Source organism: Homo sapiens, chromosome 1 (assembly GCF_000001405.40).
Source record: "Homo sapiens chromosome 1, GRCh38.p14 Primary Assembly".
Lineage (NCBI taxonomy): Eukaryota > Metazoa > Chordata > Mammalia > Primates > Hominidae > Homo > Homo sapiens.
In genome coordinates this window covers 241,819,088-241,833,105 of record NC_000001.11, presented here as the reverse complement: position 1 = coordinate 241,833,105, position 14,018 = coordinate 241,819,088, and the positions used below count along the sequence as shown (strand labels likewise).

Here is a 14,018-nt window from a genome sequence, read left to right as displayed (position 1 = left end):
CTCTTCATCTCAGGTCAGTTAGGTCAGAAGGAGGTATGCTTTATTCTAAGTTACACAGTATTCCACCAGATGAATGTATCATCGTTGATTTGTCTAGTCTCCTACTGAAAGACATTTAGATTATTTTCAGCCCTTGGCTATAAAAAACAATAATCCAGTGATTTTCTGTGTACTTCTATTTTCTTTGTGGAAATATGATTTAGGAATGGAAACCTAGAAGAGAAATTGATGGGTCAAAGGTATGAGTGTTTTTTTGTTTGTTTGCCTGTTTTTGTTTGTTTTTTTGTAGTCAGCTATTTAATTAGGTTCTTAAGGCATTTAGAATGCCAATTTGTGAGGATAAATTCCATTTGTCCGGGCAAACACAGATGGCAGGTAGACCTGATGCTGAGGAATAGCTTTGGTTTTTCGTAAAATGTGTGAGTCCACAGCTTTCTGATCAATCTTGCACTGCTCTGTAATCTTGTATTTCTCTTTTTCTGTGTTGAAGATCTCACCTTCCTGGTCTGAACTTCCACAGCTTCTTCTTGAAGTAAGCATCACTAAGATGTTCTGGGATTTTTACATTGCTGATATCAATTTTGGTTGAAGTCGCAATGACAAATTTCTGGTATTTTCTTCATAGAGGAACTCGATTGAGGGCCAGAGGTCCAGTCACAAGTAATAAGCCACTAGCCAGCTGCTTCAGGAAAACCACCCTCTTGCCCCTGTGGCCTCCAGTGAGGAGGATCAGAATGGTCCCCGGGGTAATGCTGGCTCGCAGTTTTCTCACGTGCTGACTGAAGGGTTTGTTGCCATGGCTCAGCAGCTTTCCAGGCACATCTTCAGTAGGATAATATCTAGGCATTTTGCGAAGTTTAACCACCCGGGTACCACCGTTCTTGTCACCACCAACTGGTTTTGTAACAGTTGCAAAAACCTTCTCCTTCTTTTTCTTTTCAACCTTGGATTTAGCGGCTGAGTACTTCCTCTTATACGTGGCCTTTCTGGAATACACGGCAGGTCAGGAATACCTGCCAATTCCTCTGACAAGGACAGGATTGCACTGCAATGGGGCTTCCCCTTCTTGGGCTTTTTAGTCTTGAGGTGACCCTTTTTCACCACCAGCATCAGCCTTCTTGGCTTTGGGTTTCTTCTCTTTGGTATCTGGCTTCTCAATTGTTTCACCTGCTGTCTTGTAAGATGGGAAAGAGAGTTTGTGTGTGTGTGTGTGTGTGTGTGTGTGTGTGTGTGTCTGGCTTCTCAATTGTTTCATCTGCTGTCTTGTAAGATGGGAAAGAGAGGGGTGTGTGTGTGTGTGATGGAGTTTTGCTCTTGTTGCCCAGGCTGGAGTGCAATGACATGATCTCGGCTCACTGCAACCTCTGCCTCCAACCGATTCTCCTGCCTCAGCCTCCTGAGTAGCTGGGATTACAGGCGCCCACAACTATGCCCAGCTAATTTTTGTATTTTCAGTAGAGACGGGGTTTCACCATCTTGGCCAGGCTGGTCTCAAACTCCTGACCTCAGGTAATCTGCCCGCCTCGGCCTCCCAAAGTGCTGGGATTACAGGCATGAGCCACCACGCCTGGCCTGGTATGAGCATTTTAATGTGTATAGATACTGCCAAAATGGCCCTTCCCTGGGATAGTACCAGTCTGTATTCCCAAGGGGAATGCCTTTCCCACCACATTCTCCCCAAGATTGCTTTTAATCAAATATTTTGTTCTTTTCCAATCTGATAGGAGAAAAAAAAAGAATCTTGTGGTTTTAATTTGCATTTCTCCTATTGTGGGTAAAAGTTTGACATCTTTCTGTTTTAAAACTATTTGTATTTTCTGTGAATGGATTATCGTGCTTTTGCCCATTTTCCTGTTTACCTATTTTGATTGTAAAACTTACAAAAAGTATTTGTAGATCCTTATGTAACATAGAAATTAGCCCATTGTCTGTTTTATGTGGTATAAAAATTATTTTCCTGAGTTTATTAGCAGGAATTTAAACATTTTAAGTAGCCAATTTTTATTTTACTTTTAAATCTTTGATGCAGCTAAAATTCATTTTGATGTAAGAAATGATGAATTTCTTGATATGTATGAGGTTGATATCTAGAATTATTTTCCTTCTCCAGATGGTTCCTCAATAATATCCAATTTAGGTCTTGACAGTTCTTCTTTCCCATTGATTTGAAGGGGCCATTTCTGATAATCTGCCTTCCTATATGCATGTACGTCTGTCTAGACTCTTTTGTTAATTGGTTGTTTTTTTTTTTGGCGATGGAGTCTCACTCTGTTGCCCAGGCTGGAGTGCAGTTGCACGATCTTGGCCCATTGCAGCCTCAGCCTGCGGGGCTCAAGTGATCCTCCTGCCTCAGCACTTCCCAATAGCTGGGATTACAGACACGCAACACCACGCCCAGCTAATTTTTTTTGTATTTTTAGTTGGCCAGGCTGGTCTTGAACTCCTGGCCTCAGGTGATCTGCCTGCATAGGCCTCCCAAAGTGCTGGGATTACAGGTGTGAGCCACTGTGTCCAGCCTGTTGATTGGTCTTTATATCTATTGATACACTAGACATTTTGGCTACTATTGCTTTATAATATGTTTAACTTTCGAGAGGACTAGTACCCCCTTTTTTAGAATATTTTTTTCTGAAAATCATAAATATTATTATTATTCTCCTATGAACTTTAAAACAGCTTACATTAAAAGGTTTGTTCTTATTTTTAGTGATCACTTAAAATGTATATATTAGTTTAGGGAGGATGTTTGTCATTATATAATAATACTAAGACTCCTGCATCAAAACCCAATTAAGTTCTTTTTAAGTCTTGTTTATCTCTGTTTACATTTTTATTTTATTTCGAGACGGAGTCTTGCTCTGATGTCTGAAGTGCAGTGACACGATCTCAGCTCACTGTAACCTCTGCCTCCCGGGTTCAAGTGATTCTCTTGCCTTAGCCTCTGAGTAGCTGGGACTACAGTCCTGTGCCACCATGCCGGGCTAATTTTTGTATTTTTAGTAGAGATGGGGTTTCACCATGTCGACCAGGCTGGTCTTGAACACCTGACCTCAGGTGATCCCCTTGACTCAGCCTCCCAAAGTGCTGGGATTATAGGCATGAGCCACCGTACCCAGACTCTCACTTTACCTTTTTAAATTAAAAAAACAAAATTATGAAGATTTTAAAATTTTATACAGGATTAAAATTATTTAATACAGATCTTGCATGTTTATTGTTAAATATATTCCTAAGAATATTTTAATCACTGTTATGTACATCTTTTGTTAAATTATATTTATCATTTGATTGTTGTTTGTATATTGGAAAGCTACTACTTTATTTTACACTAACTTTTTACCTAGCCAGTTTACTGATTTTTTTTTCTTGTTTATAATGCTTTTGAGTTACTTCTCTTGGGATTTCCAGGTATTACAGTCACATCATGTGATAATAATAGCATTTAAAACTTTTTCTGTCTTCATTTTTAGGAAGTAAGAATATACTAAGAGTAAAGTTGCAAAACTTATCTTTGTTGTACATAGAACCATTATTTACAGAGTAAAGTTGCAAAACTTATCTTTGTTGTACATAGAACCATTATTTACAGAATAAACATCTGGAATACAGAGTAAAGGTTGGGTATATATTAAAATAGTAAGGGTTGGGGGTGAGGAAAAGAGGGGAGAGAGAGAGAGAGAGAGAGAGAGAGGGAGATTATCAGAAAAAAAGAATAATGAGCTCTTGGCAGTTATTAAGAAAATTACCTGGGTGATAAAATAATCTGTACAACAAACCTCCATGACACAAGTTTACCTATGTAACAAACTTGCACTTCTACCCCTAAACTTAAAAGTTAAAAAAAACCAAGAGATTAATATCTAGAATACGTTAAAAAGGAAAATTAGAAAACCTAGTTAAGAGTCAAATACATATAATGAACATGAACGTTATGGATATTAACATCTGTTAAATCTTTCATATGATGGCACCTACATTGAACTTCCAGGCTAAAATCTTAAAATTGTGACTGAGATGATCAATCAAGTTATGTGGGCACGTCCTTTAAGCCCACGGCTGCAGCAGCTCAGGAGAACAGAGGACCCCTTCCCCCTCTTGCTGCCAGCAAATGCTGCTGCTAATGGACAGTGATCACGCTTGCCTGCTTCTGATTTCTCCTCAGCCGGAGATGAAAGAACTCTCACTGTCTCTTAATAAAAGGAAGGGAAAAAAAGGTATGAGAGCACCACTGGATTTAATAGAATATGACTCAGTAATGAACTGACTGTCAGCAAAAGATGACAAACCTTCTGCTATTGTCAAGGTGGAGAACGCTGAGCATGTCATCACTGTTGGGAAGAGTCACCTTCTAATGGGCCAGGCAGTTTGCCTCACTCTGTTGGAGGCCCCTCCTAACTCAGCTGGCTTGCTTTACACTGGTATTGCATTGGCAGGCTGCCTGCTCCCCCCATCCAAAAGTGTTTTACATTCCATTCATGTTTTGCTTCCAAATTTATTTTTACATTTCTAAAAAATTGGATGCTAAATATGTCTATTTATGTGCTAAATTCATTTTATGTGCATTTAAGCTTTTCTGTTAGTCAGTCCAATAAATTCTCCTGCCCTCTTTTTATTCATTTTGAAGTAGAAATAGAGATAACCAACCAGACAGAAGACAGACAGATACCAGTGATAGAGTTTTAGTTACATAAATTATCCTTGTTTGCAGATAACATGGTCTTATATATAGAAAGCTCCAAAGATTCCACTAAAAAAATGAGTTAAAACTAATATACAAATTCAACCAAGTTGCAGGATATAAAATTTACATACAAAATCAGTGACATTTCTATACACTAATATCTAAGAAAGAAATCAAGAAAACTACCCCATTTACAATAGACTTGTCCTTTTCACTTTAACAACCCATCTTGACTTTTGATGTCAGTACATGTAAATGGAACTCACTCTTTTTTTTTCTTTATTTCTTTTTTATTTCAGGATCAACCAGGTATGGAACTCACTCTTTTAATGACTTACAGTGTCTGCATTATGTACCATAATTTAATTAACCACTCCCTTACTGATGAAAATTAGGGTTGTTCTGGCAAAAATTTATTGCACTATATTTAACTCCCTTTATTTATTAATTTTTTTTTTTTGGAGATGAGTTCTGCTCTTGTTATCCAGGCCAGAGTGCGGGGCGAGGTCTTGGCTCACTGCAACTTCCACCTCCCAGGTTCAAGCGATTCTCCTGCCTCAGCCTCCCAAGTAGCTGGGATTACAGGCACCCACCACCATGCCTGGCTAATTTTGTATTTTAGTAGAGTTAGGGTTTCATCATGTAGGCCAGGCTGGTCTCGAACTCCTTACCTCAGGGGATCAACCTGCCTCGGCCTCCCGAAGTGCTGGGATTACAGGTGTGAACCACAGCGCCCAGCCTTAACTCCCTTTAACTTAGGAAAGTAACCAGAATTGAGAATGAGGACAGTAATGCCAGAATTTGAATTTCCCCCAGCCAGAGCAAGAACATGTCACAGTAGAGCAGGATTCACCCTGTGGCAGTTGGATTGGGAGCTCTGGTAAGGGCCATGCGTGTTTGGCTTTGACAGCTTTGGTGACTGGTTTGACACAAGAGGCCTGGAGAGAAGCCACAGTACTTGGTTTGGAACTTCAAGCTGTCAGGTTTCGTAGCTGCAACACTGGAACAAGATGACAAAACTGGTCACATTTATTTTCATAACCCTGAAATACTGGCACTAATGCTGACATGACTAGCAGTATTTTATGAAAAGATACCATCAGCATGGTGCCATCATTTTCCACACTTTGTTCTGAGAAAATAATGAACCTGAGAGACAGCCAGACCAAGGACTGTTGTTCTTCTGCCCTGCCAGCCTAAATCTCTCTAAAAAGGATAAATTGGTGAATAAGTTAAAATAAATTATCTTAGGAGAGAACAGTCTATCTTTAAGAAAATGAATTTGGTGCTCTCAGGAAATAAGAGAAGAACCAGTAATCTGGAAATTTCTTCGTCTTTTCTTCCCCTCTTCTCCCTAATACTTCTGTCCTTCTACATTTTCCTTAAGGCCTTTTCCTCACCCACTACCCCCACAACAGTCAAATTGCATTTGAGATTTCTGGAAATTGATTAGACTAAAACTGACTCTGGGGAAAATAAAAATACTATAAATAAAAAAAGAGGCCAGGTGCAGTGGCTCACGCTTGTAATCCCAGCACTTTGGGAGGCCGAGATGGGCAGATCACCTGAGGTCAGGAGTTCAAAACCACCCTAGCCACCGTGGTGAAACCCCGTCTCTACTGAAAATACTAAATTTAGCCAGGCGCAGCGGTGGGTGCCTGTAACCCCAGCTACTCAGGAGGCTGAGGCAGGAGAATCACTTGAATCCAGAGGCGGAGTTTTCAGTGAGCCGAGATCGCATCACTGCACTCCAACCTGGATGACAGAGCAAGACTCCATCTCAAAAGAAAAAAAAAAAAAACACAAATGCTCAGTGATATGGTTTGGCTGTCCCTTCTGAATCTTATGTTGAAATGTGATCCCCAGTGTTGGAGGTGGGACTTCAGTGTTTGGGTCACGGAGGCAGATCCTTCATGAGTGGCTTGGTGGCATCCCCATGGTAATGAGTGGGTTCTTGCTCTGGTAGTTCACCTGAGACCTGATTGTTTAAAAGAGCCCAGAACCTCCCTCCCTCGCTTGCTCTCTCAGCATTTAATATGCCTGCTCTCCCTTCACCTTCCACCATGATTGGAAGCTTCCGGAGGCCCACTAGAAGCAGATGCTGGCACCCTTCTTCCTATATAGTCTTCAAAACTGTGAGCCAAAATAAACCTCTCTTCTTTATAAATCACCTAGTCTCAGGTATTCCTTTATAACAAAGAAAATGGACTAACACACTCAGTCTTACTAGTCATTTAGGAAACTGGAATTAATGCCAGATAACATTTTGAACAAGTTTTAAAAGGGAAGTGGTGTAGTCAGAATGCTTTCTATTTAAAAGCAGCTTAATTTGATATGAAATTTAAATGTGGTATATAACTCTCTGAATATATATCATAATGCACATAATTCAGAGTTTAGATTTTTAAATACCAAAATAATGGCACTACATCAAGAAAAATACCAAAAGAATACTTGGTTCTTTAAAAATAGCATCATATTCTGGAATACCAGAATACCACAAGACTACATTTCAATCATTTGTTAAGTCAAGGTTGCAAAGACTAACAGGCAGATTAGCAGTGTGAAACACCAAGCTGGCAACTGGAGGAAACCCAGGAGATGGGACTAAGTTGCCCAGGATAGTGAAAAGGGCCTGGGTTTGGAGTCAGAAGACCTGGGTTTGAAGTTCTGAGTTTCACTTTCTTTTACTCACTATGGCCATTGGATTTTGGCCAGGTTCTTCCAATCTCATGTGGCCTTATTTTCTTCAATACAATGAGCATAGTAGTATTGCTCTGCTTATCCCCCAGGGCTGTTGTAAGATAATATAAATAAAATATTGCTAATAAAAGCTATAAAGAGGAGATCCTAGGGTCTAAGGATAGAATTATCCTTTATTTAAACATGTTAATGTTGGAAAAGAAACATCATTTGATTTTGCTCTCAAACACTGCATAAAGGATGCTCTGCTACCACATCGCTCTTTCTTGAATATTCCCTTACTTCTATTTAGATATAAATTGAGAGAAAATTTTGAGCTACAGAATGAGAAGTGTCCTCCTTCACTAACCGTGCTAACTGGTATGTTTCATGAATATCATTTTCAATTTCTAGCCATTGTCATCTCCATTTAGAAGGAAGTGTTCTGAATTTTTTCTAAAAAAATAGCTTTTTTTTTTTTTTTTTTTTTGAGACAGTCTTGCTCTTGTCACCCAGGCTGGAGTGCAATGGCACGATCTTGGCTTACTGCAACCTCCGCCTCCCATGTTCAAGCAATTCTCCTGCCTCAGCCTCCCATGTAGCTGGGATTACAGGCGCCTGCCACCATGCCTGGCTAAAAAATAGCTTTTTATACCAGTGTTTGAAGTTAAAGGTCTAGTTTTGTTTAATATATACACTGTGGGTTCTCCTTCCATTATTTCGAAGCAAACCTCATACATCATCTCAATGCAACCTTTGAATGTGATGTTTGATTTGAATTGTCATGGATTCCTGGGTATCTGTTGGCTTTATACCCTGTGGCTGATCCTAGGTCCTTACCCCTCTCCCACATCCCCACCTCCTGTCCCTTCCCTTCATCTTGAAGTTTCACTGGGCATAGAAGCCTTGTGTGGTTTGTTTGCTTGGAAAGGGAGGTGGGCTATTTTCTAGCTGTCACCCTGCCTCATTCTTGTTTGGTCCTGCCTTGTTTTGCCCTCTCCCTCCATCTTTGAGCTGTGGCTCCAGGAGTGCCTCTACCCCTTGCTGGTATTTATCTTCCCTGAGCTGGATTCTCACCCTCTTGAAGGGACAGTGGCTTGGACTTGACCTTCTAAGCTTTCCTGACTTTTGCTTCTTCAGGCCGGTCACAACCTAGTTCCAGCCCCTCAAATCCCAGCTCCTGGTGCCACTGGTTTACTGTCGCCTCAGTAAAGAGGAGAAAAGTACATGTGAATATGTGACTGCTTTCTCCCGCGCTGGGCCATCACTTCTCTTTCACTGGCTTCTTGACGTGTCCTCTGATGGCGTGCTTCCGGGCAGACTCACTCAGTCCAAAACTTCATGTCGAAGTCATAGTTTGAGCCAGGAAAAAGGCAGGAAGTATCCTTTTCTATCTGTGTTAAATGCTGCCATCCTTTCATTTAGCCTTTGCTCTCAGTTTTCTACAGTACTTTTAGGTCAGCAGCTCTTCCTCTTGACTTGCTTTTCAGAATCCATGCAGCCTCCTTTACCCAGCAACTGTAAGGAGGAACTGAGGGAGCATGACTCCCTGGGGCTAGGGTGGGAGACAATTTGAGTGACACTGGGTGTGTAGCATTAAAAAATGTCTCTCACAGATCCGCTGGCCTCTCCATTCCTGGAATGCCCTAGACCCTCTTTCACCTGGGTGAGTGGCTTCCTGATACACTATACAGTGTTAAGGGGAGGAAGGACTGTTATTTCCCAACTGTCCTGGAAGGGCTGTTTTGCCTTTAGAACCAGCCATTAGCCCCAAGACATCCAATCCTTGTCTTATTTTTGAGGCTAGGCCAATAAGCAAACAAAAGGGCCACCAGGCCTATCCCCACTTACCGCATCACATTACAGGCCCTGCCTTGCTAAGGGTCTTCAGCCGTACTGTGGACTTTGATGATCCAGAAGTGGCTACAGTGAAGATTGAGTGAACTGAATGCAAATTTAGGAGGCCTAAGATGTAGCTCCATTTTTGCCTTTCCCATTCAGCTAGTAATGGTTCTTTTCATTTAAACTCTGATAGAGAGGTAGTGATTCTTTCCTAGGAAGGTATCAGCATACACATAAGAGTAAATTTTATTTTTATTTTTATTTTTATTTATTATTTATTTTGAGACAAAGTCTCTGTTACTCAGGTTGGAATGTAGTGGCATGATCATGGCTCACTGCAGCCTCCATCTCCCAGGCTCAAGTGATCCTCTCATCTCAGCCTCCCAAGTAGCTGACACTATAGGCACACCACCACGCCTGCCTAATTGATTTACTTTTATTTTTTGTAGAGATAGATTCTCACTTTGTTGCCCAGACTGCTCTCGAACTCCTCAGCTCAAGCGATCCTCTTGCCTTGGCCTCCCAAAGTTCTGGGATTACAGGCATGAGCTACCACACCTGGCCCAGAATAAATTTTCTATGTGTGACTATTTTCCTTCCCCCTCTCAATTCTGTGTTTAGATTCTCTTCGAATAAACTTTTCATCTTATTCTATTATGGATTACAGTTAGGTGTGCCTTTGAACTGAATCAGTATTCATGGGAGAAATGATTTTCTCCCCAGGCAGAGTGCTATGTGGGTTTGTTTCTGTTTTTCAAAACACATCTGAAGCTGTTCCTACCTTATGACTTAGAGTCTCAGAATTCTAATTGGTGATGCAAAAAGAATATTATCAGTTGCCCAACCTGTTTTTAATTTTCTCTTTGCTATTGCAAGAGTGGAAGAAATGTGAGAAGAATGAATATGGGCAAAAAATTGACAGTTGCTGGGATGTGAGGTTTGTTTTTTTCTCTCTTTCTGGTTAGGCTAGTTGTGTTCACTTGGCAAAGGGCAGCATAGAATGGAGAAGAAGGATGGGGAAAATGTTAGAATATATTTTGTATATAACATTTGCAAGGTAAGAACAAAGTCGTGTGAATGCCTATGTGCAAAGAAGGTGAAAGATACAAATGCAGATATGTATGTATATATTTATATTTATTTAGACACATAAATATACATTAAACAAATATTTATACATATATTGCTAAGCATTTCTACATGCACTATTTAATCTGATCTTCATTGAAAACCCTAAGATGCAGGTATTAGTATAATTTTCATATTGTAGGTGAGTCAACTTGTGCACAGAGAACTTAAATAACTTTCCAAAAACCAGGTATGGTCAGAGCCAGAATTTATTTATTTTTTTTTTTTTGAGACAGAGTCTCGAAAAGGCTGGAGTGCAGTGGCATGATCTTGGCTCACTGCAACCTCTGCCTCCCGGGTTCAAGCAATTCTCCTGCCTCAGCCTCCTGAATAGTTGGGACTACAGGTGTGCGCCACCATACCTGTCTAATTTTTGTATCTTTTAGTAGAGACGGGGTTTCACCATATTGGCTGGGCTGGTCTCAAACTCCTGACCATGTGACCCGCCTGCCTCAGCCTCCCAAAGTGCTGGGATTACAGGCATGACCCACTGCACCCGGCCCGGAGCCAGAATTGTAATCTGGAGAGGCTAATTCTAGACCTTGTGTTCTTTACCACAAAGAAAGTCTGATTTAGCTCTGTGGATGGTGAGGATTGAGAGGTCAGGGAATTTCCTTGAGGATTCAGCACCACTTGAAGTAAGTGTGGGTGGCTAGTATGGTCTTCAGATGAGAGTAGATCCACTTGGTCAGTCCCCTCTAGAAAAACCTATGGAAGAACCAGAGACAGTCCTGGAAACTCAGATCTAAAACAAATTCTGGTTCTCACTTGAATTGGCCTGGCCATTTGAACAGAAGAGAGAGTCTATCAATTGGACTGTTTTGTGGACACCATAAAATCGTCACATGGCACTGGTAAGTATGAAGCATGTATTTTTTCTATTGGTCTGATTTCTGATCCAGTTTTACAAATAACCACTGGCAGTATTCCTTACCATTCTGCTCTTCACAAGAACATAAAGTAGTAAAATTAATAAACCCCTTTATTTTAACTCTTGCTTCAGCATATAATTTTCCCCATATGCGGCCAGCTATCTATAAGATGCGCCTAATATCAAGATCCTTTATTTCACATTGTAAAAATCTTTCGTTTTTGCCTTCTTCCAAATGTGTATCTCTTTTTATCTAGGAATAATTAAGTCAGGATGGCAGAACAATAATATTTACAGGCAGTGAACAGAAATGCAGAAGTGGAATTTACTAGCCAAACACTGCATCTGAGTCATTATGCCACAAATAAATTATGTGCATGCATGAGCAATACATAAACTTATTCGTTCAATTTGTTCTGACATCATAAGACATTTTAAGGAAATGTTAGAGACTTTTAGCTCATTTCTATTCATTGAAAAATTGTATTTAGCCACCTGTGCCTCTGTGCTTTCTTCCAGTCTATGGCCTTTTTTTGTAGAAAAAAAAAATTCTAAAAATAGATATGGCATTCCTTTTAAAATCAAATGCCTTCTTCAAAGAAGTTGCCGTAATAGAAATAGTAAGTAGTACAGATGGTATAGCTGTAAATTAAAGTTTATTCTGACTTAGATACCACATGCAATCATCTATTATTTAATAATAGAAAAATGGGGACTGGGACTGGTTATATAAACATGAATCCTTTTAGTTGATCCCTTTCATCTCTACCTATCTGTATTTCTAAATCTTGCAGACCCTGTATGCGTTGTTTTTGTCTTCCTGTTTTTAATGTCATGTGAATTTCCTATAAAAATTGCAGAATTGTTTTCATTCAGCTTAAGACAAATATTTTTTTCTTTCTGAATCCTATACAGATGATGCCTGTAACTGGCAAGAAGAGGCATATATTTGTTACAGGTGGAACGTTTCCCATGCCCATGTGGTACTTGTACTGACTTCCATCATCGCACCTCTAACATGTTGTTGCCCATATCTGATTCTATCTTTGTTTCCTTTCTCAGGCAATAAGTACCTGAAGGGCAGAGACCATCTTTTTTGTTTTTTCCTGTGTATTTCTAGTTTTTCATGCAATATTTCTCGAGAAAATTAATGTCCCATCCCATTCCTTACCTAGTTATTTATACATTGAGAAAAAAACTGATGTCTCTAAGAAAAATATAAATGTAAGCAACTCATAAATAGGTAAGTTAACATTTTGGGGCATCCACAGTATATTACTACTGATAGTTAAAGGAGGTATAAAGAAAACACTAGACATGGTCCCTTTCTTTATGGTACTTCTAGACTATGAAAAGAGAGGGCTCAAAAGCACATGTGTACACAATGTACGAGTATCTATTTACCAAAATAAGTACAGTCATCCTGTACACAAATACAAGCCATACAAATGCAGTCTATTTCACGATTAAGTAGGCAATATTTGTATCATGTGTTATTCCTGAGATATTTTGAATCCCAGCTAGATTTTCTACTGCTACCTAGCAAACTTCTAGCCATTTTCCCCCAACTATCCAGCAGTTATATGTTTAGTAGATGAAACATATCTTCAGTGTTAACCTATAACATAATTCAGAAGGTGTATCCACTATAAAATATAATAAATATTTTCAGTGTCAAATAAAAATAATGTATGGGATATCAGATTCTCTCTACCCTACTTACTAAGATAGCTTGGCTAATTGCAATCTGACCTGAATTCAAAGCTTTTCCTTCCTTACCATTGCTCCCAAGAGCTTATAAATTATTCTGCTCTGTTCTTTCTGTGTTTTCTTTTTCAGCTCTTTCCTCAACACACACACACACACACACACACACACACACACACACTTCACTTACTTTCCCACTCCATTCTCTCACCTAACTTTACTGTGCCTTATCCTTTCTTTTCAGCCTTTTGAAGTATCAGATAGTCTGACAAACTAATCCTTCTGTATGTGTTCACAGGACAGGGATGAAGGTTCTATGTAAAGGCATGTATCAATTTCAACACTTAGGCATCCAGAAACAGCGTTTTCATTGGATGATCCAGTAGGGTGCTATTCAGGGATAATTTTTCAGGTAGCAGTCTGGTGGAGGAACCCCTCAAATGCCACTGTGGAAGATTATTTTCTTAACATATAGGTAGGGTTGAATATCTGGATTCAGGAATGACATGATTGATTTGATACTGGAAGACTTAACAGGCTGGAATAATACTGAACAGCTTTATAAATAGGAACATCCATTTATTTGATTGATGAGAACTGTGCTTACTGCAGACACCATTCACATGCATTGTGACTGAGGCCCTCTTGTCTTGACTGTATCCTGACAGGGTGTCTGACTAGTCATTTCAACAGGTGATTTTTTTGCTGACAAAGAGCACATTCTCAGTTATCCATGAGATGTCTGTCATCGGCTTTTCTTTTATGGTCAGGGAGGTCGAGTGAGGTCCAAATTCAGACCTCAAGGTCTGCCATGTCATAGAGCCTTAGGCTTGGAACTCACCTCACAGATCGTGCAATAAAACCGTAGTCCACGTGGGACCACCTCTACAACCCTTCTCCTTGAACACTAATAATCTGCCAACCAGAGACCAGAATATAACAGCAAGGAATATTTCCTCTCGGTTTCAGTAGAGCCTAATATGCTTCTTTGATCAAGATAAGTATTAACACATCATCTTTCACAAGATGATTTGTCTGTGTACTAATATGTCATGGAGAAGTTATGGTTGCATTATTTGTTCGTCAAATTTACAGTTACCTGTTATA

The 14,018-nt window shown here is 39.8% G+C and overlaps 1 pseudogene; it reads right to left on the bottom strand.

Moving 5' to 3' along the window:
* Positions 285–1,197, bottom strand: RPL6P3 (ribosomal protein L6 pseudogene 3; annotated as a pseudogene).